General features: G+C 36.8%; 1 protein-coding gene across 14 annotated transcripts in view; it reads right to left on the bottom strand.

Annotated features, from left to right (window-relative positions):
• Positions 1–27,685, bottom strand: part of ATG10 (autophagy related 10) — a 284,111-nt gene that overhangs the window by 61,690 nt on the left and 194,736 nt on the right. For all 14 annotated transcript variants that reach the window (XM_047417800.1, XM_047417803.1, NM_001131028.2 and 11 more), the window contains one exon: positions 15,857–15,954. In XM_047417800.1, the coding sequence (XP_047273756.1) occupies positions 15,857–15,954 (98 nt within the window). The remainder of the gene's footprint in view (positions 1–15,856; positions 15,955–27,685) is intronic.

Below are 27,685 nucleotides of genomic sequence, written 5' to 3'. Positions count from 1 at the left end.
CCTTTGTCCAAACCCAAGTCAGTGTCAGCTGCCTGCCTTTAACTTGACAATCTTTCAAATAACATCTAGGCGATGTGCCCTCTAGCTTAGCCATTTACAAACATTTTAAAGCAGCAGAACACTTTCTGCAAATAAGACCTCTTAAGATACCATAAAACAGAAGAAAATGGAGGTACTCTGATTGAAGTAAGGTAGAGGGCTCCAAAGACCCACCTATTTTACTTGGCTTCTTCCAAATGTGTCCCTTTCCCCACACACACACCCTAACACACACAAATAATAGTTCCAATGTGTCTCCACTCACATATGGGGCTTTCCTGAACCCAGTATGAAACGCAAGTTAGTTGACACAATAATTTCTTGAGACAGGAGTACAAGAAATGATGATTTTATTAAAGCTTCATCAACAGAAGAAAGACCTATTGTGAGACAATTTGTTCCCCCATGGTCCACAGCTGTGGGGACAGCCTTGATAAATAGGGAAAACATTTCACCAAACTTGTGTAAAGTTACGACTTAATTCTCCTAAAGCAAAGTCCAAGGAGAACTGTCATTTGCATATCCAAGAAACTATCACTGTTGATCATTTAGCCTTTCTATTCTTTATCATCCGATAAAGGAACTGATGTCAAACATGCTTGTGAAGAAATTGAAATTAATTTTTTTATGTAAAAAATAATTTGATTTTGCTGTTTATTTCTACCAATGAGATAGACTTTGGCGAATCAAAAGTGATTATTTTATAGAACTCACCCTTAAACTTATTTTCTCCTTTAACAGTTGCTTGCAATCCTTTAACAGCTGCTTACAATTAATTTGATCGCATGAAGACCTTTAAGTAGAGGTAGGGGAGGGAAAGCTGTAAAAACCTCTACATGGATTACCATATGCGACCTTCTACAGTCTAAGGCTTTGCCTTGTTCTGACTATCCTCCAGTAGAGGTTTTACCCTAGCTGTATACGAACAAGTTTAAATTTGAAAAACCCAAACTGCCGTGTGAGGCTGTGAAGGACAGATCACTGCAATCTCAGTTATTAAAGATGATTTGAATAGGGCTAGGGATGGAGATAGGAGAGAAAATCTGTCAGAAAATGAGCCTATTGATGAGAGGAAGCTACTTAGACATGTATTCAATTTAACTCCTTTCACCAACAAGTGGTTTAAAAAATTGAGTACAATACTGACACTATCCAATTCTAGATGAACTGTAGGACATACTAAGATACATCTGTATTTCAATGGGAAGCTGTAGGTTTAGGTACAGGCCCAATAACAACTTTAGATTGTAGAATGCAACTGCTAATGGCACGGTTGGGGGAGAAGCACTATGGAGGCAGATTCTCACTGAGGCCCAGATGGGCTATTCTGCTGCCATTGTAGCCTTGGGACATACCTATTGTGATCTGCCAACCCCACCTCATAGTAAACAGCATATCCAACTAATCATCTAAAGCTGAAGGTCTCTCCTGAGAAAGAAATTTTACTACCAGAGAATTCAGTTTTTTAAGTCTTCTTTTGAATGAAAATGACACAATTCATTATGTAGGTAAGTAAATGTACTAAGTATACTATGTCAGCTTTCTCCTCAATAAGCTGTAAGCCTTGGCCTGTGAATGCACAGCTGTAGGAAACCTGAAGCTCAACAATTCTATTGACCAGCAGTGCTTTATTTTATATAGAATAGAAATTGTGTCCACTGCTTTTCCTTTCCATGATATTTATGGATTAATGATAATAAATATTCATAGTATCAACTATGTGCCCCACAATGCTAAGCAAATAACATGCACTAACTCACATAATTCTCATAACAACCCACTGGAATCATCCTCATAATATTCCTTATGTAGAAATAATTTCCTATTTTGCAGATGAGGAAGGTGAAACGCCTAATAACTGTCCTCGGTCACACTGCTAATAAGTAGAAGAACCTGAGTAAGAACCCAAGTGTTTCTGACTCCAGAGCCCAACCCCTAACCTGTTGAAGAAACTCTCTTTGGGTCAAGCTATATAATATGGTATCAGTCAATGTTCAGTTGCAAAAACCAGAATCTATTCTCTACTTGAAGCTCTCTGGCTAGTTGAATAGGGAGAGAGGACTGAATAAACAAATTCTAGATGACTTTCCAGGAAAAATTCCTGAAGCAATCCTGCAGAACTGAACACCATCCAACCTACCGCCTCTTCTCAGGTCAGGAATCTGTCATTCTAGAATCACATCCCCACTCCAGTGAACAAAAACCTGACCGTATGTGGCCACCTCCAGAGCCACAGCACACCTGCTACAACTCCCACCAGCAAAATGGATGCCCCGTCCTCTGGACAGTGAAGCCTCTGTGAAGGTCACGTAGACAACCTCCATGCCAGAAATGCTTCTGACAAGAGCAGTTTCCACATGCTTCTGCCTTCCAAATCCTGCACAAATGCATCTACTATGATATTCCTGAACCAAATTCAGGCCCCTATTTGAGACGTGTGAGAACTGTGTATTAGCTTTCCAGTGTCTGCTGTACAGGAAGGGCATGAGAGAAGAAGGGCAGATTGGAAGTTGAGTTTTAATCCACTACAGCTATTACAAGTTCCAAGGATTTGGATGTCCTGACGAGTCCTAGGGGACTCCTGATTAGGGCTGCAATAGTTTGTGTGTCTGGGGAAAGAGTCCAGAGCTTTCCTGATATTCTCAAAAGGGGTTCATGACCTAAAACTTCATCAGTTCTGCTTTAAAATAATAATACAATACCGTTTTGAGAATAAGATTGTTATTGTGGGAGAAGGTAAAACATAATGGTTAAAGACGTGAGCTCCCTAGTATGGCATCTGAGTTCTAATTCCAGTTCTCTTACTTAGATGTCTGACCTCCAACATGTTACTTAATCTTTTTGTGTCTCAGTTTCCCCTTCTCTAAAGTGTGGAGAATAGTATCAACCTCATAACGGTGTTCAAAGACTAAGTGAAAGAATATGTGTGAAGTAGTATTTCCGTGCTTAAAAGAGCAGACCTTAAGGGCTTCCATGGAGTTCTGCTCAACCATTTATGCAAATATAATGAATTTTACAAAGAAAAGCCCAGCCCTGCTGGCAGGTACTCCCACAGACCAACTCTGGACAGCAGAAACAATGTTCAGCTTTGGCAAGAATATAAATCAGACCCTTTAATTCTGACAGTAGGTCCACTACTCCAGTGTCTAAAATGTATGTGCCAATCAATTGCAAGAAAAACCTACATTTCAGCTATTTATCAGTAACTTCAGTGTTAAGTTGATTGATACGTGACTCCAATCAAAAGACTGGTTGACATCAGACTGTAACACATTAAGAAGAATGATTATGATCAGTATCAGTGAGCACTTTGAGAAATGAGTACTCTAAGACACTGCTGGCATCTTAGAATTAGTACATCTTTTCTGAGATTGATATGGGAATATCTAACAAAACCTTTAAAATGTGAATATTCATTGACTCACCAATTCCACTTCTAAGAATTTATTCCAAATAATATTTGACAATTGCATCAATTATATATACAAGGATGTTCACTTAGAAATTTGTTTATAATGCACATTTTTAAAAAACTCAGTGTTCACAACATAAAATTGGTTAAAACAATTACGACCTTACCTTACAATGGAATTCTCCCCATTTTTTTTTTTTTTTTTTTTTTTTTTTTTTTGAGATGGAGTCTCACTCTGTTGCCCAGGCTGGAGTGCAGTGGTGTGATCTCGGCTCACTGCAAGCTCTGCCTCCTCCTGGGTTCACACCATTCTCCTGCCTCAGCCTCCTAAGTAGCTGGCACTACAGGCGCCCGCCACCACACCCAGCTAATTTTTGTATTTTTAGTAGAGACAGGGTTTCACCATGTTTGCCAGGATGGTCTCGATCTCTTGACCTCGTGATCCGCCCACCTCGGCCTCCCAAAGTGCTAGGATTACAGGCATAAGCCACCATGCCTGGTCGGAATTCTACACAACTATTAAAGGGAAAATGAAGATGTATTTAAATATTGGGATGCAAAAATGTCTGTGATGTAAATTTCAAAATAAAAGGGTGCATAGTATGATTCATTTGCATGTGTATTTTTATATATAATATATATGAATATACATTATAGATAAAGCTATATATAAACTTCTGGAAAGCTATGCACTGAAAGGTTAACAGTGGTAACTTTTAACATTTGGGATTATGAATAATTCTTCTTTATGATATTTTGTATTTTATTTAAAATTTTCAGTATATATTATTTTTTCAATCAGAAAAAATGATTATAAAGAATTTTAAGCCCAGATCATACCACTTTTATTTGAAGACAGCGCAAAATATGTACTGAGATGCTCAGATCCATACAGAATCTCTAGGCTCTTTCTTTGCATCTTGCAAGAATAGGCAAACTCAAATGCTTTTTGAAGACAGGCAGGCAAAGTAAATAAGTGAAATAGACAGTAGGAGGAAATAGGGAGAGGAGGTGCCCATGATTAACTATGGAGCAAGTATCCAGTCTAAAGTTATTCAAATTAAAAACGGCCAGGTGCAGTGGCTCATGCCTGTAATCCCAGCACTTTGGGAGGCCAAGGCAGATGGAACATTTGAGGTCAGGAGTTCAAGACCAGCCTGGCCAACATGGTGAAACCCCATCTCTACTAAAAACACAAAAATTAGCTGGGTTGTAGTGGTGCATGCCTGTAATCCCAGCTACCTGAGAGGCTGAGGCAGGAGAATCGCTTGAGCCCAGAAGGCGGAGGTTACAGTCAGCCGAGATTGTGCCACTGCACTCCAGTCTCCACAACAGAGTGAGACCCTATCTCCAAAAAAAACAAAAAACAAAAACAAAGTTAAAAAACATTTCAAAACACTTAAAATAGCATCTGTAGGCTGAATTTGAACAGTAAGCTGCCAGTAAAGACTTTAACAGTGTAAACCTACACACACAGAGTACATTAGTGTAACACTCTCACACAACTACAACTGAGCATCACCCCTCCCCATCTCTTGGAATTGGTTTAAGTGGTATCTATAAAGAAGACTATTTTTCCATAGTTGTGAAATGATCGATCTAGAATTTAATACAAGAAAAAGTCTGTCTCTCCTGATAATCTTGTCTGTTTCCTTCTGTAACAGAATGAAAGCAATGTATTTAATTGGCTCTCCCTTGTTATTTGTTATTTTAGAAAGCTCAAAATCTTTCCTTAGTTTATGTTTTCTATTAAAACTGCCTTTTCCCATCCACCATTTAGTTATTATTCACTTGCTTTGATGGTTATAGTATATGTATGTATTATTAGCATATGAGAATGTATGTATACAAACCACTTGAAATAGTTTTGGAATTCAGATTGGACTAAGGGAAGTAACACTGCATTAATATACTGAAAAAAATAACATCAGCTTACAAAAAAATGTAACTGGCACAACTACTTTATATACTTTGGTATTATCTCTATTTATTGACCAACTTTTTAACTAAAAAATACAGGCTGCAAATGTAATATGGAGAATTTTGCAGCTGACATGGGAGAGAACCAGAGAAAATGACAAGTGAGAAGAGAAGTTGAAGGGAGTAGAAAGTGGGAAGAAAATAATGTGCAATAACTGCATGGTGGAATTATGTGTATACAGCAACTATTGTACAAAAAAAAAAGATAAAACAAATAGCATCTTTCTGAGGTAGCATATACTCCTTACTAAGGACTCAAAACATACACGGGTAAGTGTAGCAGCAGAGCCTGTGTTCCATTTCCCCTCCAGGTCCTCTGCCTGCCTCTGGTCCTCACCCCCAGCCCCCAGGCTTCTCCACCTGCTCCAAGCTGTTGCTTTATTGTGTACCCGCCATTAACCTCTTTCTCAAAAACTGGAAATAAGAATATAAATATTCCTCAGACTTGAAGTTTGGGGACTAAGATGTTTATTAAAAAATAATAATTGATGGTAGGTAATTATCAAAATGAAACGTGCTAAGATGAATAATATTAAAATTAATTATTCAATATTTTAAATGGTATTTTATTTTTGTATTGATAAGCTGTTCCTTTTCAAGAAATAGTAATTCCAGGGATCAATGAAATGCTGGGAGATTCTTTAAAAGAAGGCCTTTGTATACATTCAAAGCATGTGCTGAGTCAAAAGTGTAACTTTGATGGTAAAAAGCTAAGCAATATTCTGCTCAACCAGATGTACACATAACAAAGAACATTAACCAGCCTCTTGTTTTTATTATGTAGTGAAATAAACTTCAACTTAAAGAAGTAATAAGACCCAAATCCAGCATCCTGGTTATTTATAAGAAATATATCCTGTTTAGCTATATATCTTAAGCTCCCATTAAAATGGGATAAAACATCTTAGAAATCAATACAATAGGAATCCAATAATAAATCAACTCCCATTTTATTTAGATTAAACACTTAATGAGCGGTTAGTGGTCAGAAAATTTTAGAAAGTAAAAGCTGGATGAGAAAGCACTGTTATACCAATGCCTAAATAGCATTCAATATGCATTTAGGACTTTCCACAAACACTCCAAGGTGTAAAGCCAAAAAAGTTTTAAGAAAAATAAGTCATTGGCCAGGTGTGGTGGCTCATGCCTGTAATCCCAGCACTTTGGGAGGCCGAGGTGGGTGGATCACCTGAAGTCAGGAGTTCGAGACCAGCCTGATCAACATGGTGAAACCCCGTCTCTACTAAAAATACAAAAATTAGCCAGGCGTGGTGGCGGGCGCCTGCAATCTCAGCTACTTGGGAGGCTGAGGCAGGAGAATCACTTGAACCCCCGGGAAGCAGAGATTGCAGTGAGCAGAGGTCAGAGATCGCGCCACTGCACTCCAGCCTGGGCAACAAGAGCGAAACACAGTTTCAAAAAAAAGAAAGAAAATAAATTACTTAGTGAAAGATAGTGAGAAAGAAGTTTCATATGCTTTTTTTTTTTTTTTTGTAGACAGTCTCACTCTGTTGCCCAGGCTGCCAAGCTGGAGTGCAGTGGCATGATCTCTGCTCACTGCAACCTCTGCTTCCCGACAGTTCAAGTGATTCTCCTGCCTCACCCTCCCAAGTAGCTGAGATTACAGGTGCCCACCACCACACCTGGCTAATTTTTGTATTTTTAGTAGAGACAGGGTTTCCCCATGTTAGCCAGGCTGGTCTCGAACTCCTGACCTCAAGTGATCTACCTGCCTTGGCCTCCTAAAGTGCTGGGATTACAATTACAGGTGTAAGCCACCATGCCTGGCCCATATGCCTTTTTTTTAAAGGTGAGATTTCTGGAGACTTCTGGTAAAAATCAGTTACACCCAAATAACCATTTTTTTTTAAGAGATGGGGTCTTGTTATGTTACCTAGGCTAGCCTCAAACTCCTAGGCTCAAGCAATCCTCCCACCTCGGCCTCCTGAGTAGCTGTGATTGCAGTTATGAGCCACCATGCCTGGCCATTCTTCATATATTTCTTAATGTAGGGGAAGTCTAAGGAACAAACAGAATTCATTAAAATGTGCTTTTGTTTCCCCAAACAGGAAAAGCACAATGGAGTATGAATGACAGTAAACATTTCCGAATGGATAAAAAAACGAATATTGGCTGGGCGCGGTGGCTCACGCCTGTAATCCCAGCACTTTGGGAGGCCAAGGCTGGCGGATCACTCAAGGTCAAGAATTCAAGACCAGCCAAGCTAATGGGGAGAAACCTTTTCTCTACTAAAAATACACGCATGGTGGCGCATGACTATAATCGCAGCTACTTGGGAAGCTGAGGCATAAGAATCACTTGACCTGGGAGGCGAGGGTTGCAGTGAGCCGAGATCATGTCACTGCACTCCAGCCTGGGTGACAGAGCAAGACTCTGTCTGAAAAAAAAAAAAAAAAAAATGAATATGGAAAGTACCCTGACCATGTATGGTACCCATAGCATCAACATTTAATAAACATTAAAAGTCACAATGCATGTACAGACTGATAATCTAAAAATAATTGCTAGTAGAGACAGAGACAAACAGAACTGTCATTATTACTCGAAGATACCAAAGTAAGGATATAACAAACAGAGTATATCTCACACTCCTGAGACAATAAAGTGTGGCAGAATCACTGAATACTGCTAAAACATAGGAACGTTTCTACAAAAAGCCTGCAAGGTAGATACATTTATTGTGCTGCCATAAACCTGCCCCCTAAATGACTTATTAATACCCACAGCTAATACTTAGAAACTCAGATTCAATAAATTAGCAGTGAATTACAGAGAAAACAATCACATGATATCTGTAGTCCCATTTAAATAAAGCTCCACCATGAAGGAAGCCTGCAAAGGAAGCTGGCAGTGATTCTGAAGCAGCAGCAGCAGCAATCCATAAAGCCTTCTTAATTTTCTCGTCATTTAAGAATTAAACCACTTCCAGTTCACACAGATACTACCAGGTGCACTAAATTGATGTCATTATCAGCCATCAGGAAATACCCACTGAGACCTATACCAACACTGAGAAGTTTTGTTAAACAGCTGTGTGTTTTAATTGATTTGTATTATTTAAAATAGAAACAGTTAAAAGTCAGTTATCGGATGTTGTGTAAAAGAGATGCCTAAAGACTCCAGGGAGACTGAGTTCAGAAGAAAGCCAATCACTGGAACTTCACTTGAGCACTTAAGATTATTACTAGAGGAAGCACAATTAAATCATCAGTTTATCAGCCATCATTATAAATCACCAGGCAACATATCAAGCTTCATTATTTAAGAATCCTTAACCAGTGACTTCCTGCATCACTGAGAGTCAAAAGCAATCTATTCACCAAAAGGTACCTAAGGAGTATGTTTTTTTTGTTGTGTTTTTATTTTTTTTTTACCCTGAGAAATTTATCATGGAAACATAATGAAACCCACTAAAATTAATTGTCATGTTTTTGCATGTTTTAGGCATTCCGAAGTCTTCAAAAGGAACTCAGTGGTATTTGGGATATGCAAAATGTGTGCTGCACAGGCTTCTCCTATTCCACTCTGTACAAACATTTAAACTTACTCTTATATAGTATTAAATACTTGCATGGTAGGACGAAATGAGGAAAATAATCAACGAGTTTCTTCCCACTTTTATCCCTCCAACCCCATTCATTCACTTGTACTTTCCTTTCCCAGACATATGGAATCAGAAAATAAAGAACCTCCAAAGTTTTGGTTTCCAAATTTAAGCACATAGTTCAAGTGTTAGAAAGAATATATTTAAAAGGAGATAAGATACAGATTGAGTTTCATATACAACTCTCTCTCCTCAGAGCTGGGAAGGAAAGCAGGGGCTTAGAGAGAGGCAATTTTGAAAAGCCATTTCCCAAGAGGGGCATGTGTATGTGTACGTGCTCATGTGTGTGCATATACATGCGTACAAAATAACACAACACAATAGAATCTCTTGTGGTTTGGAAATTTGAGAATAGAGAGGATATGGTTCTAGTACACAGTAGGTTTCATGAAGAAAAGTCCCTTCCATCATCATCATTATATTTAGGCAGCTGTAAAACAGGAGGGGCAGCCAGACTTTTCTGAGCATAGAAGGACTGCAGACAGCCACCTGATGTTTCTGCAGCCCTGTTGCGGTAGCAGAAAAGAGTGAGGTGTAGTAGGGCTGACTTATTCATTAGACAGAGTAGGCATGGTGCCTGGGGTCTACAATACCTTTAGGAATCCATGAAAATATTTTAATTGCTTTTTAAAAAATAAAATAATAAACTTGTAGGTCAAAGAAAGTATTTTAATATATAGTATGAATACAGTCATCTCTCTAATAATGCAGCTATAAAATATAATTTTAATACCTTTTTATGGAGAAAGGAGTCCGTTAAGGTAAATGTATCTAAGGCCCACAAAAGTCAGGATGTGGTCCTAGAAAGCAAAGGTTTGATGAGAGAGACAGCGAGGGTGACAGAGATGAGGAGAAAGAGGCAGCACAGACCTGAAACAGAGCCCCTGGGGTAGATATTATCGGTTAGGGTCCAGAAGTTTAGTATAAATTCCAGGGTGGGAAGGGGGGATCCTAAATTTGGCATAGCTTAATCTTCAATGGCTGAGAAAATCACTGAAATAACTATGTTTACCTGGAAAAAATAATAATGATTATGATTACAATAATTACATAATATATTTACTACATATTATGTGCTAGGCAATGTACAACGTATTTTACATATATTGATTCATTTAGTCTTCCCATTCGCTCTGTGTAGATGCTACTGTAACCTCTAATGGAAAATCAAACTAAGACACAGAATCTTTGTAATTTAACCAAGATCATGCAGCTAGTAAGTGGTGGCATACAAAGTCAAATCCACTCTCTCTGGCTCCAACACCTAGATAAAGGCACTACCATTTCCCAAAGGAACCAGTTCTCCTTGGCTGACTCCAACAAGTCTGGGCAGGAATTGCACAACATGCATGTGCAACCACTTGTCATACCACTAAACAAGGAAGCCATCAAAGCCACATGGGTTGTATCAAAATGACTCAGGAGCCAATGTCTTTGGCCAGACTTCCACTGGCTAAAGATGAGGTAAACTGAACATCAATAAAGATAACCACTACTATGAACGGACACATACAAAACATTTATGAGTCCATAAAGACATATTTTTTAAGGTTCTTGGTTACCTTTGGAGGATACTAGAGAACCAACTCATTATCTTGAAAGCTAGCTCACAAAGGGAAAGAATCAAGCATTTATCCTGCCCTTCCTAATCAAAGCATACCTCAGGTAAGTAAGATGGAGAGAGAAACTTTGTCATTATAGAAGTAGTCCAACTAATAAATAATGAATGATAGAATTAGAACATCACCATCTTGCAATCACTAATGAATTAATGGGTCTAGGCAATAATCATCAATGGCTGCTAACATCACAAAAAAGAGGGATAACCAGACATAATGTCCCCCCGACGGCATACCCAGAAGCAACCATGAAGTATTCTTGCCAAAAAATCGAGCCTGAATTTGATCAAGCCTCAAGATCTAACTACCAGTTTATAAAAAAACACAGGGAGGAACATAGTAAACACCACAGAAATACAATTAGAAAAAAAAAATCAAGACTGCAAAACACTACAGAACAAACAACCTGTTTCTTCAACAAAAAATTACCAGGAAAAAAAAAGAGATGGAGGAATGAGAATCTGTAAGATTCCAAAAGTCTTAAGATATGTTAACTATTTTAATGTGTAAACCTTATTTTGGATCCTGATATAAACAAACTATAAAAAAAGAACTTGGGAAATTTAAACATTAATTGCTTATTTAATGATATTAAGAAATTATTAATAATTTTATCTGTGATAATAGAATTGTGGTTATGTTTTTTTTGAGTCCTTACCTTTTTTAATTAACTATTTTGAGATAGTTGTAGATTCATGTTTAGTTGTAAGAAATTATACAAAGAGGTCAGGTGCAGTGATTCATGCCTGTAATCCCATCACTTTGAAAGGCCAAGGCAGGAGGATCACTTGAGGCCAGAAGTTCAAGAGCAGCCTGGGGAACATAGTAAGACCCCCATCTCTACTTTAAACATAAAAATTTAAAAAAATGACACAAAAGGATATCTCATATCCTTTATCCAGTTTCCCCCAATGGTAACATCTTGCAAGACTATAGTACAATATCACAAACAAGATACTGACGCTGATTCAGTGAAGATCCAGAACATTTCCACTGCCATAAGGTTCCCTCACGTTGCCTTTAATAGCCACAGCCATTTCCCTCCCATTCACACTCCCTATCACCTGGCAACCACAGATCTGTTCTTCAGTCCATGATTTTGTCATTTCAAAAATGTTATAGAAATGGAATCAAACACTCTGCAACTTCTGGGATTGCCTTTTTGCACTCAGCATAATTCTTTGAAGATTCATCCGGGTTGCTGAGTATATCAATAATTGGTCCCTTTTTATTGCTAAGTAGTATTCCATGGTAATGGTATGCTACTCTCTGTTTAACCATCTACCCACTGAAGACACCTGGGTTTTTTTCCATTTTGAGCTATTATAAATAAAACTGATACGAACATTCATGTAGAACTCTTATCTTTTAAAAATATTTACTTAAATATGTAGGGATGAAATAAAATGATGCTAGGAATTGCTTCAAAAAAGTTCCTAACTGTATGAGATATGGAAAAAACCAAACTCTTCATCAGCTAATAAGCACATTACACAATTATCTCTACTTTTGTATGTGTTTAAAATTTTCCATAATATAAAGTTCAAAAAAAGAATCCACTAAGAAAAAATTACTTATCTGACCACTATACACCCTGCACATAAACACACATATCTTAAAGTGAAATTGAAGGTACCCATTTTTATTTTGTGACTTTAGGCCATGCCAAGATCACAGGAATCCCTTTCTTAAAACATAGAGCCAACACCTTCCAGTGATCATTATTGTAACACTCACTATAACAATTAAGGCAGATCCAACCTAAGTACCTGTTAACTTTCTTTCAGAAGTTTTTTTATTAGGCTACAGGGTTGATATAATAGGTAGTCTGTAATGTTGGGCAAAAGCAGGTAAGTAATCACCATAATCAAATGTATGAAATTTATGAGTGGCTTATCTTCAAAAGAGGGGGTTTACATCTGACATGAATAGGTCCTTATCATCAAGACAAATGCTGAAAGAACAGAAGTGTGATTACTAAAGATGAAGAGCAACAAACTATATGAGCACAATCAGGCCTGAAAATGAAGTGAAATGCATTTTATATTATGCAAAGGCTGCATTTGTTTTTAAGCCACTCTGGAGGACAGCATATTATTATCATGTTCAGTCCGCAAGCTAATGATTCTTTAGTATAATTCTGCAAAACGGTGTCTACTATTCAACACCACCAATATTCTATCAGCCCATTCTTCCCTAGTGCTGTATCATCTTCTCCCCCTCCATCTCACTGAGGACACCTTGTTTTCTTTTGTATGTGGTACTAAAAAATGAAGACCCATTCTCCCAAAGATCTCAAGCAAAGAAGAGGATATAAATACCAACCCATTAACCAATCTGGGATTAAAAGCCAAGATCTCCAAAGGAAATATTCATGATGATTTTCAAATGCCAAGTAGTGCAATGGCTGCAAATGAGTTTCCCCTACTTGGTCTGTAATGCCTCGACACGCACTGTGATGAGCAATTTTAAAGCTTAAATAAACATTGTTATTAGAAGTAGGATATCTGTTCACAGATCAAATCCCAATAAGATCAATTCCAAAGGACCACCTAAGTTTTATAGTTGTGTTGTAGTGTGGTTATATCAAATATCCCTCCTATTAAGTGAGCCCCAGCCTTAGTGTTAGAAATAGTAATGCTTGTTGTGATAGGATTTGATCTGTAATACCGTACTACGATAGGGAGGAAAAAGATGGTACACTAATAGGCTGTGTGACAGTGAAATAACTATAAAATGAAAGACATTCGTCAATTCTATTAAAAATAATCTATATACAGATTGGTTCAGTGGTGAGTTTAACAATGTAAGAGTTCTATCAATAAAAAGAAATCTATGTCAACATTGTATCAAAATCTTGTTCTTATGTCATGGGTCAGAACAAAGACACGTGGAATTAAAATATAAAATATCACAGACCACTAGAAATTGTGCTATATACAGGCCTGCATTAAGGAGATTAATTATCTGCTAGAGGCAGAAAAGGAAAATGGTAAGAACTGGATTCAAGAGTATAATGGAATTGAGAAAGAGTTGATAAATGGGTGTAAAGTTAAATACACATATATTTTTGAATATATTTTTCCTCTATCTTTTGCCATCTTTCTTGACTCTTACAACCAAACATTTTCTGGGTCTTGTGGATAAGGACTCTACAATACAAATTTTTGTACAGTTTGTGGCCACTGACAAGACACTAGAAGCTGGAACTCTTAGCACTCATCTTGACATACTTAAAGGTTAATCCAAAATAGTTTGTATAAAATAAAATGTTCTTGCCAAATCTTTAGGGTTGGTTTTCTCATATTTCACATTATCCTTCTTCACAGCACCACCAATGCCTGGTCTACAGATTTGGATTTCAGAGGGGCAATTTTTGTGAGTTGAAGTGGTTTCAGAGAAGGGAATGTATGAGAGGACAGGTAGTAACAGGTAATGCATACAGAAAAATGAGGGAAGGCATTAGATCTAGAAAAGATCACAAGAACAAACTGCACAAGAGGAGTATAGAGAGATGAATAACCATATTTGGCAAGAGCTGTATAGAGCAGAGGAGTAGAAGATAAACCTAGAAGAGCAGGTTGGAACCAGGGAGTGGCAACCTCTGATGCCCAGGCAAAGCATTTAGACCACATCCCATAGGCCCTCGGAGAACTATTGCAGGTTTGAGCACAGGTAAGTAAGCACAGCAGTGGTTAAAAAGATATGACTACAGGTAAGGGGCAGAGAGGAAAGGAGCAGAAAACCACAGGTAAGAGGCTTTACTAATTGTTCCACGTGAGGTCAGAGGGCTTGATCTAGGAGGGTGACAGTGGGAAGAGAAAAGATTAATTTGAGGGGCAGTGTGAAAGATACAAATACCTAAAGCTAGTTTTGTCCTCAATTAAAACCTAGAAAATGGTCATTGTTAAAGAACCACTTACAAGATGCTAAGGATTCTTATGTTGATTGGGAGGTAAACTGTCATTATGATCAAACACATAAGAGGGCATAAAAATTCTAATAACTGATAAACTCATTTTTAAAGGAAGCTTTCATTAGCTGAACAGAAGCTTGGAAAAAATAATATTTTTGATATAAGTAAAAATTATTTTTAAGGAGATGATGATTGGTTGCAAGGTGATGAGTAGTTTTAAATTTCCAAAATAACTACTGATTTTAGCAAGGCAGTAATGACTTACATGATTGACAGATCTATTTCCTTTACTTTTGCAAATCTACTTTTTATATCTACTTTTGCAGATCTATTTTCTCTACTTTTGCAAATCACTATTGCAACCATATTATTAATCAAAAGCTCTTCTTTTTTGCAAATGTATTTATGAGTAAAACTGTAAAACAGTATAGATTACATAAGCCAAATCATCTATTTCTTAATATATAAGCCAACTTAGTTTCTATTTTCATTTGCTTAATACATTTTTATTGAGCACATACTACATGATAAGTACTGTTTTGGTGCTGCATGTACAATGAAGAATAAAAGAGACATGGTCTGCCTATATGAGAGCTCACAGTACAGACAGTCCCAGACTTAGGATGGTCCAGCTTAACAATTTTTAGACTTTATCATGGTGCAAAAGTGATACATCTTCAAGAGAAACCATATTTTGATACCTATACAACCATTCTGTTTTTCACTTTCAGTCAAGTATTCAATAAATTGCATGAAGCTATTCAATATTTTATTATAAAATAGGCTTTGTGTTAGATGATTTTGTCCAACTGTAGGCTAATGTAAGTGTCCCGAGCACATTTAAGGTAGGTTAGGCTAAGCTTTCATGTTTAGTAGATTAGGTGTATGAAATGCATTTTCTACTTCAGATATTTTCAACTTACGATGGGTTTATCAGGATGTATTCCCATTGTAAGTCAAGGAGTATCTGTATAGTGGAGAAGACAGACATCAATTTTTTTAAATCATCCTAATATGTAATTTAAAATTGGAATAAGCATTCTAAAGGATAATTATAGGGCACTCTGAGAGCTTATAATAGGGTGGCTAAACCAAGACTGGGTCTGGGAAGGTTTTTTTTTAAGGAAACTGTCTTTGAGGTGAAATATGTAAAGATATAGACAAGTGAAATAGGGAAAAGAGTTGGAGAGGGAACTAGCAGAAAAGATGAGCAGCGGGAAAGAATACAATAACATGCATACAATAAAATGACAATACTCTCCAACCTGTTGCGTAATAGTGTCCCATGGTCCCTGTAGCAGTCGCATCTTATAGCACTCATGAACTCCTTCCCATATGTCCTTCAGAGTTAAAGGTCTCCCATCTGTGAAAGTGCATGGTAAAGACTGAGTTAGTAATTCATGTGACACAATGGTGCTTGGTGTCAATCTAAAACTCCTGGAAGAATATCATGACTTTTAGAAAGATCTTCAGTGCACATGCTATTTATATATCAAGAGAGTGCTATATGAATTACTATTTTCTTCCTGAGGGAAATTTAAACATTCAAGCTTCTCAGCTTTGTATCCATCTAGCATTTAAATTGTCTGCTCATTCATTGCCTCTAGGAATTTTACAAAATAAATAAAATCCAAATGTGTTTTAGAGAGAACTGACAGATGCAAGCACAGGCAAAGGAACCAACAGACTCCCATATTCATAAAGGTGCACCATGAATACTCTGAATCCTTCATACTTACTCTAGTCCTTAAAACAAAGAAGCCATACCCATGCATCTTTCACATTCTCATGGAGTATCTATAATGTCCAAATCACTCCATCAGGTACCATGGAGAATAGAGAGAAGAAAAACACGCAATTTCTCCTAACAAGGAGCCTAACATCTACTGAGGAAACTATGACAAGTATATTACAGTAGAGTGGTCTCTGCCTGAAGAAGACTGAAGCTCACTGATGGTCCAAGGAAGAGAGATATTAACACTTGGTGTCTATGGCAGGTGGAGAAAGGGACTCTTGGGGTGGGGAAGGACAAGAGAACGGGGTTGGCATGAAGAGGGCAGTAAAAGCTTTATTGAACAATAATGCTCTTTTTCTTTAAGTTGTTTCAATTATCCCTCTGTATCCACCCAAACAATGTATTTTACAAAGACCACTATGGCACTTACATTATACACAAGGTAAGTAAAGTGGAAAAATAGGTATCTAAGTTCTGAAAAGAAAGCAGAAAGAAGAAGTCACCTAAAGATTTCAAACCATACACTACTGGAAAGAAGGTGTCTTAATGCTAGAATCCAATATAACTTGATCCATTCAGAGCTATAAGGCCCTCAAGACTTATGGGCGTGCTCTTTTGGGCTAATGGATGATATCACTTAAAGATATTTCACATAGCAATATACTGAATATTTAGACCAAAGAAGTATTTGGTCATCAAGGGCAACAAAGCATAAGGAAAATAATCTACTCAAGAGCTCCAAAAATCACTGTATTAAGACTTTCAAGTATAAGTAGAAATGTATGATGTTGGGGGAAAAAGCACTAGATTTGGAATCTGGACTAAGTTTTAAATCCTGGTGTTGGCACTTACTCTCCATGTGAGTGCAAATTATTTTGCTTTTAACTTTACCTGCAAAATGAGAATAATGATCCTTTCTGGGTATTGTTCTTTTGAGGCTTACATTAGTGAATGCACCCAGGACTGTGTTAGGCACACAATAAGAGCTCAATAAATATCAGGAATCTCCTCCCAGCCCTCACACAATTATTCCAGTAATTCTCAAACCTAAAAGATTCATTTCTAGACTGTTATTTCTTAGAATTTTCCCATGTTGCTATACCGTGCATATCATCTTTGATATAGTACCATACTAATATTATAAGCAGGGCATTTCTCATGTTTGACCTAAAAAGTTGAACTTTTCCTCAACCTTTATTTTCAATAAATAGCAATAGAATATTTTGATACATTTTCAATAAGTATCTTCATCTTGGCATTTATCTAGCGGCAGGAGACCATTATCTTGTGATAAATAGTTTTATTCCATTGACATTTCCATGTCTGTAAAATGAACAAGATTTATTCATCCAATTAACATTTGAATGTCATGTTTAGCTACAAGTTAAAAACAAGCTGCCTTCAGTATCTGTGTTATATTGTTTTCTGAACACATTTACAGAGTAGGGCCAAACTCTGCTCTTAAGCACTATGCATCTTTGAAATATGCAAATGCCATGCATGCATATGTGTATGTGTGTGCGTGTGTCTGTGTGCGCATGCGTGTGTGTGTGTATTGGTGTGGGAAGAGGCAAATAAGATCTTAAGAACTTTAGTGTCAAATAGTAAACTAATCAAATTACAGAACGACATGCTTTTAAAATAATTTTTACACGTCAAAGTTAGAAGTAAACAAATACCTGTAGTAGGATAATAAAATGTTAGAGCTAGTATAACCACTAATTTTATAAATAGGGCAGCCAAGGTCTTACGAAATATGTATCTGCCAAAAGTATGCAGCCGGTTCATGACTGAACTGAAGTCTGAATCCAGATCTCAGGACTCACCAATGCTCTTCCTGCTGGTCCACGCTGCCTCTGAGGGCAGAGGCACTGCAAATGCTTTACAAATATTTACTGAGCAAATGATAAATGATGAAAAAATGCCTTCCTTAACTTTATTTCTATTACCATAAAGCTTTTCAGACCTAGAGAAGAATGCTGGGTTTCATATCTGGTAATCAGTAATGATTTTAATTTTATTCCTTAAAGTATTTCAGGCAACAATGTAAGTATGGAGTAAATGGTTTGGATAGAAGTTAATTTTAGAAGTAGATGTTTTATATAATTGGGCACCTACTATATGCCAGGCATCTGTTCCAAGCCTTTGTGATACATCAGTGAGCAAAACAATCATCCTTGTTTTCATGGAGGTTACATTATGCCTTGGGGTGTGTGTGTGTGTGTGTGTGCGTGTGTGTGTGTGAAAATAAACAATAAACACAATAAACAAGTAAACTGTATATTATCTTAGGAGGTGATACATACTATGGTGAAAACGAAAAGTAAAGCAGGCTAAGAAGTGCCAGCCAGAGGTGGGTTTGCAATTTTAGACTTTAGTGAGAAAGTAACTTGTGTGCAAACACTGGGAGGCACAGCGTTCCAGGGAGAGGTGCCAACCAGTGGAAAGACCACCAGGGCTGGGTAGGGGATCACTAGCACTACATGCATATCACTAACATTCGTCACTTAAAGCCAATGACTAAAAAAAAACACACATAACTTTATCAAGATATAATTCACGTACATACAATTCACCCATGTGAAGTGTACAATTCAGTTATATTCGTAGAGTTGTGCAATCATCACCTCAATCAATTTTAGAACATTTTCATCACCTTAAACAACAACAACAGCTGGGCACAGTGGCTCACGCCTGTAATCTCAGCACTTTGGGAGACCCAGGTGGGAGGATTATTTGAAGCCAGGAGTTTGAGACCAGCCTGGGCAACAAAGTGAGACTCCATCTTTACAAAAATGTGGCTATATAGGGAAGGGCAGAGACAAGAGGCCAGGAAAGTATTTACCTCAGTGGAGTCCTTTAGCTGCAATCCCAATGAGGCCTGGCAAAGCTTTATTTCTTTTTCTTCAGAATAAGCACTATTTTCTTCTCACCCCAACTTTCTAAACCAACTTGCTTGCTTTTGATTGTTGTAACCAGAGCTTTGTTTGAAAAGTAGACTCTTCAAATGAGGAAACCAATGGAAAAATTGGTAATATAACAGTGCAAGTCTGTTATACATCCACAATGATGCAACTGGTTGAGATGGCTTAGACAGTCGTGACCTCCATGAATACCCTCTCCAAACCATGGTCTCCAACTTCCAAAATCTAACCCCCTTAAAAAAACTGAGGAAGGTCAACAAGCAATTATAATACCATTGTTAAAATATCTGCTTCTTCTAGGCCCATAACGGCTATCTCAAGGGCCACTGCAGTCTCTTTAGCACCTATTGAAGTTCTGTGTTTGGCACCCCCTGCTGGTGGCATGCTAGGCCTGGTGGGACTACATGTTTTTAAAACAAGCATATCAGGTCTTAAATATTCAAAAGACCACTGTTCCTCAAAACAGTCACCTAGGGAGGTTACCTGATTATTCAGCAAATTCAACCAATATTTATTCCAACAATGCTGTAATTCTGTCAATGGAACTGCCTTTGAACTTTTGAACTGCCTTCAGAGCCAGACAAGTAACTAATTACTTACTAGTCCCAAATAGGTTTAAATCAAAGGAAAAAAAATTATACTTATTTTATTCCATATATTTGCTTCCAAATGATTTTGTTGTCGCCAAACAAATTCACCTTTAATAAGTAACCATCTTCCAACTTCTAGCCACAAGGACTGGAAGAAGTTTCAAAACCAGCAGTTCCCAAAATATGTTGAGTAATCAGAGTATGGTTGGCAAAAGTATATAATTTTGCTTTTCCTCTGTGTCTCTGCAAATCTCTCCAGTTTCTGCTGACCACTTACACTGTAAAAGGTCTGGGTAAATATAGCTTTGTCTCTATGACAACAATGACTTAATGAGGTATGATGTGGTTTCTGTTCCCTAAGCCTTCGTCACTGGTTTGCCTAGTCACAGTTCACACCTTCATCATCAAAGACACACAAAAGTTAGTTTTTGAGATCTTTCATACAAAAACAAAAGATCTAACTTAATCAGCAATATCTTCAAAATCGTGGCATACATTATTAATATCTAAAATGCATTCAAATATGATCGTGACTAATTATTTCAAAAGCAAAATGGATACTTGAGAAATCCCACTGAAACAAACTGGGATATTTATATATGTATAAAGAACTGCATCATATAAACAAAGTAGAAACCTGAAGAATGTTGTACATATCCACTTATTTATGAAAACTGAAGACTCAAAACTTAAAACACGGACATAAATACTTGGTTAAGTACATAAAACACATTATTATGTGCCTGCATGTTCAATTCAAAGTATCTTCAATGAGAAACTTTAAACCATGTTAAGAGAGTCTATTTTTTTACATCTGGCCTCAGTCAGAGGAGACATAAGCATACTCAATCAACAACTCCTTCGTTTCAGATCCAAGATACTCAATCGCACCAATTTTAACATGCTTAGAAATTTCATTAGTCACATTGAGGCTGTGTAGCTCAGTAAAATCTCTTGAATACTTGAAAAAGAAGTAGAAGCCAAAATAATTTCAGTAGTAACCTACATAGTGAGCATGGTAAATTGAGGTCATTTATATAACAAGTGTTTATTGAGTGCCTACTATGTGCCTGTATCACTTGGAATGATAATACACATTTAAGCTAATGGAATGTTCTGTCAGTAATCTAAAGTGTCAATGACAAAAGAAGAAGAGACATTAGGTGAAAAATAGAATAATTAAAAAGTACAATCTTTAGCAACTGCCAGTAGCATTTAATTTGACATTTTCATATAAAATCTCTCAATTGAATAATAACCCACATGTCAAGTAATCTATATATTACTCAAAATGTGCAGCTTTCTAAATTAAATTTCTCAGGGCTATTAGTTTTCATGAGCCAATAACAGCATGAGATATTTCACCAGCACTATCTAACTCTAGTGCAAGCACGCTGGAGTCACCTTTATCCTTATTGTGCACGGTTTCACTAACATTTTTTAACTCCTAAAATGAAGACTAGAGAGAGTACAAATAATTCAGAGTAAGTTTAAGAATAATGTTCTGAATGTGGCCATTAGAAATAAAAAGGAAAGAGTAGATTTTTCACAACAAAAAATGTCATTATTCAATATATTGTCTTCAACATAGCTTTGAAAGATATAAAAATTCATGTCATACTCCACAGTAAGGCAGAGATGAAGCTCCACCAAAGGGGAAAATTCATTTTTGCTTCAGTGAGAAAATTATATTGTGATATGAAATGAGTGCAATTGTTCACGTACATTCATTTCAGCTACTATACTGGCTAATTCTGTAACTTTTATTTATTCCTATAAGCATTTTAGGACTTTGTATCTTTATTGGGCTCAAGAAATCTAAATGAAATTCCAAAAATATGAACTATGGCAACTTTCTTTTGCTTGCATATAACATCAATTAATTAATTTAACCTATATGGTTCTTAAATTTCAGTTATTTGAATGAAAGTGTCATGTAGTGAAAAATGGGCTATAGAGTTTAAGTCCCAACTCTACAGTTTTCTATGTACCCTTGAATAAATAATTTAACCCCTCTGAGCAGTTTTTGTCTTCACATGAGGGTAATAATAGTTACTACCTTCTAATTTTATTGTGAAGATCTAGATATATAATTTGGCTAGCATGATTGAAAGGCACTAAGTGTCAAGCACCATTTCCAATATAAGCTCAGGATCCTCGAAACTCTGAAATCAGTATTATTGCTAACTCAATTTTTTTTTCAGATGATGAAAGAAAAGAAATGGCAAAGTTCAATAACTTGCCCAAGGTCATAAGGTTAGTAAGCAGCAGAGCTAGGAATCAGAACTAAAGTTTTCTGACTCTAGACCATGCGCTTTTCACCACTACATTATATGTGTTTCTGTGCACAGGAGTTCTTTGTAAAGTGTAAAGTTATACATGCATATTAGTTGTATTGTTCTTGTTGCTACTATTACTAGTGGTCCCCATCAACACTGCCTAACCTATGAGTATCTGGAATTTTCCCTTTCATGATTTTCTTCCCAAGCCTGGCTCACCCTTTCCCCTATCACTCATGGACAAATCCCATGTCCAGCCAAGGCCTCTCTTGATCACCACAGCTCAAGGTAGTCATAGCTCTCCAAGCCCTGGTGCCTTTTACCTCTCTTATGGTCCTTAACATATTCTACTTGTTATAGTGAATTTCAGACCTATCTTGTGTTTCCCTCACTAGACTGTAAGCTCCTTGATGGTATTATCCATCTCTGATTTCCTTTATTTATCTCAGCATTTCAGAAACATATCCATGCCTTATGTATAAATATTTTCAAATGAATGAACAGATGAAAGTTCAACATTATTTCTAGAGTAATTAGCACATTCTAAGAATAATGGCTGAATGATCATAATAAAATTAATTGATTAAATGTTTTACATTTATATTTTTAAAAACCCTCATACTCACATAAATCCATAGCATTAAGCAGATGCAGCTATAGCAGATATGTGATTTCTCAGTATCCAAACACACTTCCAATTTGGGAGATAAATTCCAAAATAAGTAGGAGGCAGAGCCCCATTTCTACCACCAAAGCTAAAGGGAGGCAGATATTCCCTTGCCTTGTCATTCTACCACCTTCAGTTGACTCTACGATCTACCCTTCAATAAGCCTTTTCCTGCTTATCAAATTATTTGCAACCAGGGGTACACATCTAATATAGCACAAATAGATGGTTTAAAAGTCTTGCTTAATAAATATTTTCAAAATTATCAGCTTAAAATGTTATATATTTGTCTAGCAGTCTTGAATAGAAAAAATAGATGTTAACATGGTTTTTAATTACATGAGAAAGTTTATGTGTGTTACAATCTATTTTTATGAACATATGCCCAATAGCACATAAAGGAGCAATTATGAATCATCTTAAACTGTCCACACACAGTGTTAAGAAACATGGAATAACGCAAGTGATGTTATACCCTTCCATTTAAATTAAGTGAATCACTTAACCTAGTAAAGGACATATAAGACCATTTTGATGAACCTCTGAATCAGAAAATGGTCCCAAGGGAAGCAACATTGGGTCCACAAGATACCTGAGACATCAGCCCTGTGATACCACTATTGATCCAGAAATCTGAGAACCATACTACCAGCTGGATATCTACAGCCTAAGGTCTGCTGGTTCTAAAGCAGAAGACACTCTGTTTTCTTTTTTTTTTCCCTGAGACAGAGTCTCGCTCTGTCACTGCAGTGGCGTGATCTCGGCTCACTGCAAGCTCCGCCTCCAGGGTTCAAGCGATTTTCCACCCCACCCTCCCAAGTAGCTGGGAGTACAGGCGCTTGCTACCATGCCTAGCTATTTTTTTTTGTATTTTAGTAGAGATGGGGTTTCACCATGTTGGCCAGGCTGGTCTCGAACTCTTGACCTCAGGTGATCTGCCAGCCTCGGCCTCCCAAAGTGCTGGGATTACAGGTGTGAGCCACCGCGCCCTGCCAACACTCTATTTTCAATCCTATCCAAAGTATTCTGAGGTTTTGATCCCAAACTCTTGAGATTAATACTCAGTAATTTGTATTCCTGGCTTTCCTCAAACATTATCCCCACATCATGGACCTATTACTACTATATTACTCTATACCAGCACTTTGAATACCCTTACTTCCACCATCCAACCTGGTCTCCTTCTCATGGAATGCAGTCTCTGCCTTCTCAAAACAGCACCTAACATATAGACTCGAATACTGCTTTGATGACTTTGAAGGAGCAGAAAAACAATACATGAGTTACAAGTTAGGCAGTGATTTGTTTCAGCATATTTTAAAAAGAGGCTAATGAGATTTGTGTTGTGCACACAGTAGGCACTCATGTATATTTTAATAGGTATTTCAAACAGGGCTCATTGTGCCAATAGTAAGCAAAGAGATGTTTTTTCCATATGGCACAAACATTCACCTAAGAAAGCTAAAATACAGTCGCTTACAGGTTAATAAAATTAATGTACTTACCTTGTTATTTTCTCTCCCAAGCCTCTGGGTCCAACTAAAATCTCTTGCCTTTTGTATATGTGGCTAAGCAATATTCTGCTTAGAATAAACCTTTTGGCTAACTAGCTATCTCTGTAGTTTTACTTCCCATTTCTTTAGCACCTTTCCTTTAGTACATTTTCAAAACAGGGCTTGATTTTTCAATGAGATTCTATTGCTATCATATGTTCTAACCCAGCATGTGACTTCTATCCTAATTCCCCAAAATATTTCAAACATTTACATGGCTCAACAAATAATTCTCACTAGATTTCCTCTGTTATTTGGACTTTTCAGTTTGAATATATTTGTATTAGTTAGATAACTTTTCATTATTCTTAAAAATAACTTTCACTGTTTGCTCTTCAAATTCATTTCAATCCCTAGAATCTCTTTTTAATTCACCAAAATTCATGTTATGGTTCATTATCATGACCTTGGCTAGATTTACTGTCTACATAAACATATGTGTAACATAAATATAAATACACAAACTTTCTTAAAGATTCTTTACAATTAAGACTCTAAATTAAATTATCTGTCAAATAATTTTCTATTTTCTGCTCACTGTAGTAATTAACTAGAGTCGTTTTTGCCCCAGTCTTAAAATACTTCTCTAATCCACTATTTTTCTTCCTATTCAACAAGCTGCCTTAACCATAACTCTTACCGTACTTGCAATAATACATCTTTCCCCGAAAATATGTTCTTTCCAACTCATTTTCTTCATTTTCTCTAAGAGGTTATTGTTTTTAAATTGTTATAAAATTAATAACAACAACAATGAAAAAGCCAAATCCTTTTTTTTTTTTTTCCAAATTTCACTCTCACCCTTCAATTCCTTTTCTTTCTGTTTTACTCAGGCACAATTTCTAGGACATCCTTCCTCTGGTCTCATTCACTTCTGCTCAAACTCTTTCACTTTTTCTTTATATCTTCCAACCCCTTCCTAACCATTATCTCTTCCATAATTTGACCTCAACATATCTTTTCAACTATTTCTTCCGTAAGTCATCCTAAGTTAGCCCCTACTCCAAACTGGTCCTTCACTGTTCTCCAAATATGGTGGGCTCTCTCCAGCCCTCCAGCCCCCATAGCTTGGCACTCACTCTCCTCCCCTTCTACAGTGCTTTTCCTAACCTCTTCAAGAAACCCAACCTGTGGCTGTCCTCTACAAGTTGTTGGACAGAGCTATGGATATTCTACTTTTATTCTTCGGCTTCCTCCAACCCCCATCTTTCCTGTTTTGCTGTCATTCTCCTCTATGCACTCCAAAGATGTCCTCTTATTGCAAACCACAGACAATCCTTTTCCTGCTTGATGATTTATATGCTGCTTTAATTCCAAACTTTCCATTATTCTTTCTTTATCATGGCGTTTATCTTAGTTTGATTCATGCTGCCTTTGAGAAGGAACTATTCTTTGATTATTTCTTTTGCCCTGTTTCTCCATGAGCATCCTTCAGGCCTACAACAAGTGGACAAATCTTTCACATGAAATATTTAGGCTACATTTTTAATTCTATACCCTTTTTTCCTGGGCCAATAATAGAATGGTCTCCATAAAGGACAGCCATTCCTTTGCTGAATGGAGGAAAAGATTCCTCCTCTATTCAAATGCAGCCCTGCTGACTAATTAAAGAAATATGTCAAAACAGCTCCCAAGAAGAACCCATATGTCATCCAAAGAATTAAATGTTTTGAAAATAAGAAGAACCACTTGGTCCATTTTTCAATAGAGACTGAGAACAAATGAAAAGAAAGAGATGAATCAGAATTCAAGATGAAATAAATATAGAAATCTCTAGCTAAATGTAAGGAGAAAATATTTAAGCCTAGGCCTCTGGTAAGGCAAAAGGCCATTATGTATGTGCCTAAGGGTTTTACCACCTTTGTAACATTTGCCACTAGCTTTTGATCAAAGCTGAGCCCTCAAAAGGGAAAATGAGACATAAAAAGGTCAGGGAATAAGAATGGTAGGGAATGGATAGAAGGCTTTGGCATGATACAAAAAATTCTTTAATATGGTATGCTTCAAAAACAGTGGGAAAAAAAGAAAAAAAAAACAGCATGCACTTGAAGATGTCAATGCTTTGTGGGAGTGGATTTACTAAACTATAAGGCACTATTCCAATGTAGGCTATTTATTATTACTCAACAGACGTGCAATTATGTCTCACCCTCTCCTGAGTGACAAAGGGTATTAACTGTGTCCCACCACCTCTCCCAAACCTACAATGACAAAAGTAGTTAGAGAAAAACAGAACATTGGGATGGAAGGGCTTATTTCTTCTCTTAAATCCACGTTGCCCACTTGGTAACTGAGCTCCTGTACACCAAAGTAGTAGAAATGAGAGGCAGAAGCAGAATGCTGTCTCAACTTGGCTGTCTGCCTTCAAGAATTAAATAAAAATACGTGTTTATAGAAGTGGAACAGCTGCTTCAGCTAGTTTGGATACCCACTTTTGAGTCCTCAGGATGTTCTATTTTTCTAAGTCCACTACTCCTATAGTCTCTGAAAAGTATCAGACTAAAGAGTAAAGATACATAGATGGTTTGGGTCTTAGGTCTCCTGGAGACAACAGAATTACTTCCTCTTTCAAAACCTGGCATAGCAGTTGAAGTAGGCACCATCACAATGTTTCCATTCTTGGGCTGTATTTTTTAAATGACTAGAAATTCTTCTTTATCGTTTCACTTAACAAATACTTGATGCTGTGCCACAGCTGAATAAGCCATATATATACATACATATATCTTATACATGTATACACACAAAGCCATAAATAAAGCTTCTCACTTTGTAGGCACTCAGTATCAATTTCCTTCACTCTTGTTTTTATCTTGAAGCTCTATGTTCCAGCATATCATTTTATAGATATAAACAAATATTTCTGCTATAGTACAAATTGTGATATAATAGAATATATGATATGATATGACATGACATGACATGGGAGCGACAAGAATAGATGGCATGTTAACTGAGTCTTGGGCTACTAGTAATTGGCCTGGTGGAAACTGGACCATATAAAGAAAAGGAATTCAAAGTCTAAGGGATTTGCATTTCGAGAACCAGAGTAAAGATTTCTTCTGAAATCTAAACAAGTTGATACAAGAAAGGGTAATGTAAATTTAAATGGAAACTATTTATTACTTGTTTTGCTTTTCCTTAAAAAAATAGGTACAGGGAGAAAATTTAGAGCAAAGCAGAGAAATTAATTTGTACTAACAATCAAATGCAAAAGAAATTATAAATATCTGTCAAAAACAAGGCTAAGTGAACTATTTTTGAAGCAACAACAACAAAAAAAGACCCCTGGGCAAGAAATTTTACAGTCATCCTCTTTCTAGGTCGGAACTCTCTTAGAATGAGA

The sequence above is a fragment of the Homo sapiens genome, chromosome 5 (assembly GCF_000001405.40).
Source record: "Homo sapiens chromosome 5, GRCh38.p14 Primary Assembly".
NCBI classification, from domain to species: Eukaryota; Metazoa; Chordata; class Mammalia; order Primates; family Hominidae; genus Homo; species Homo sapiens.
This window is presented reverse-complemented; position numbering and strand designations above follow the sequence as displayed.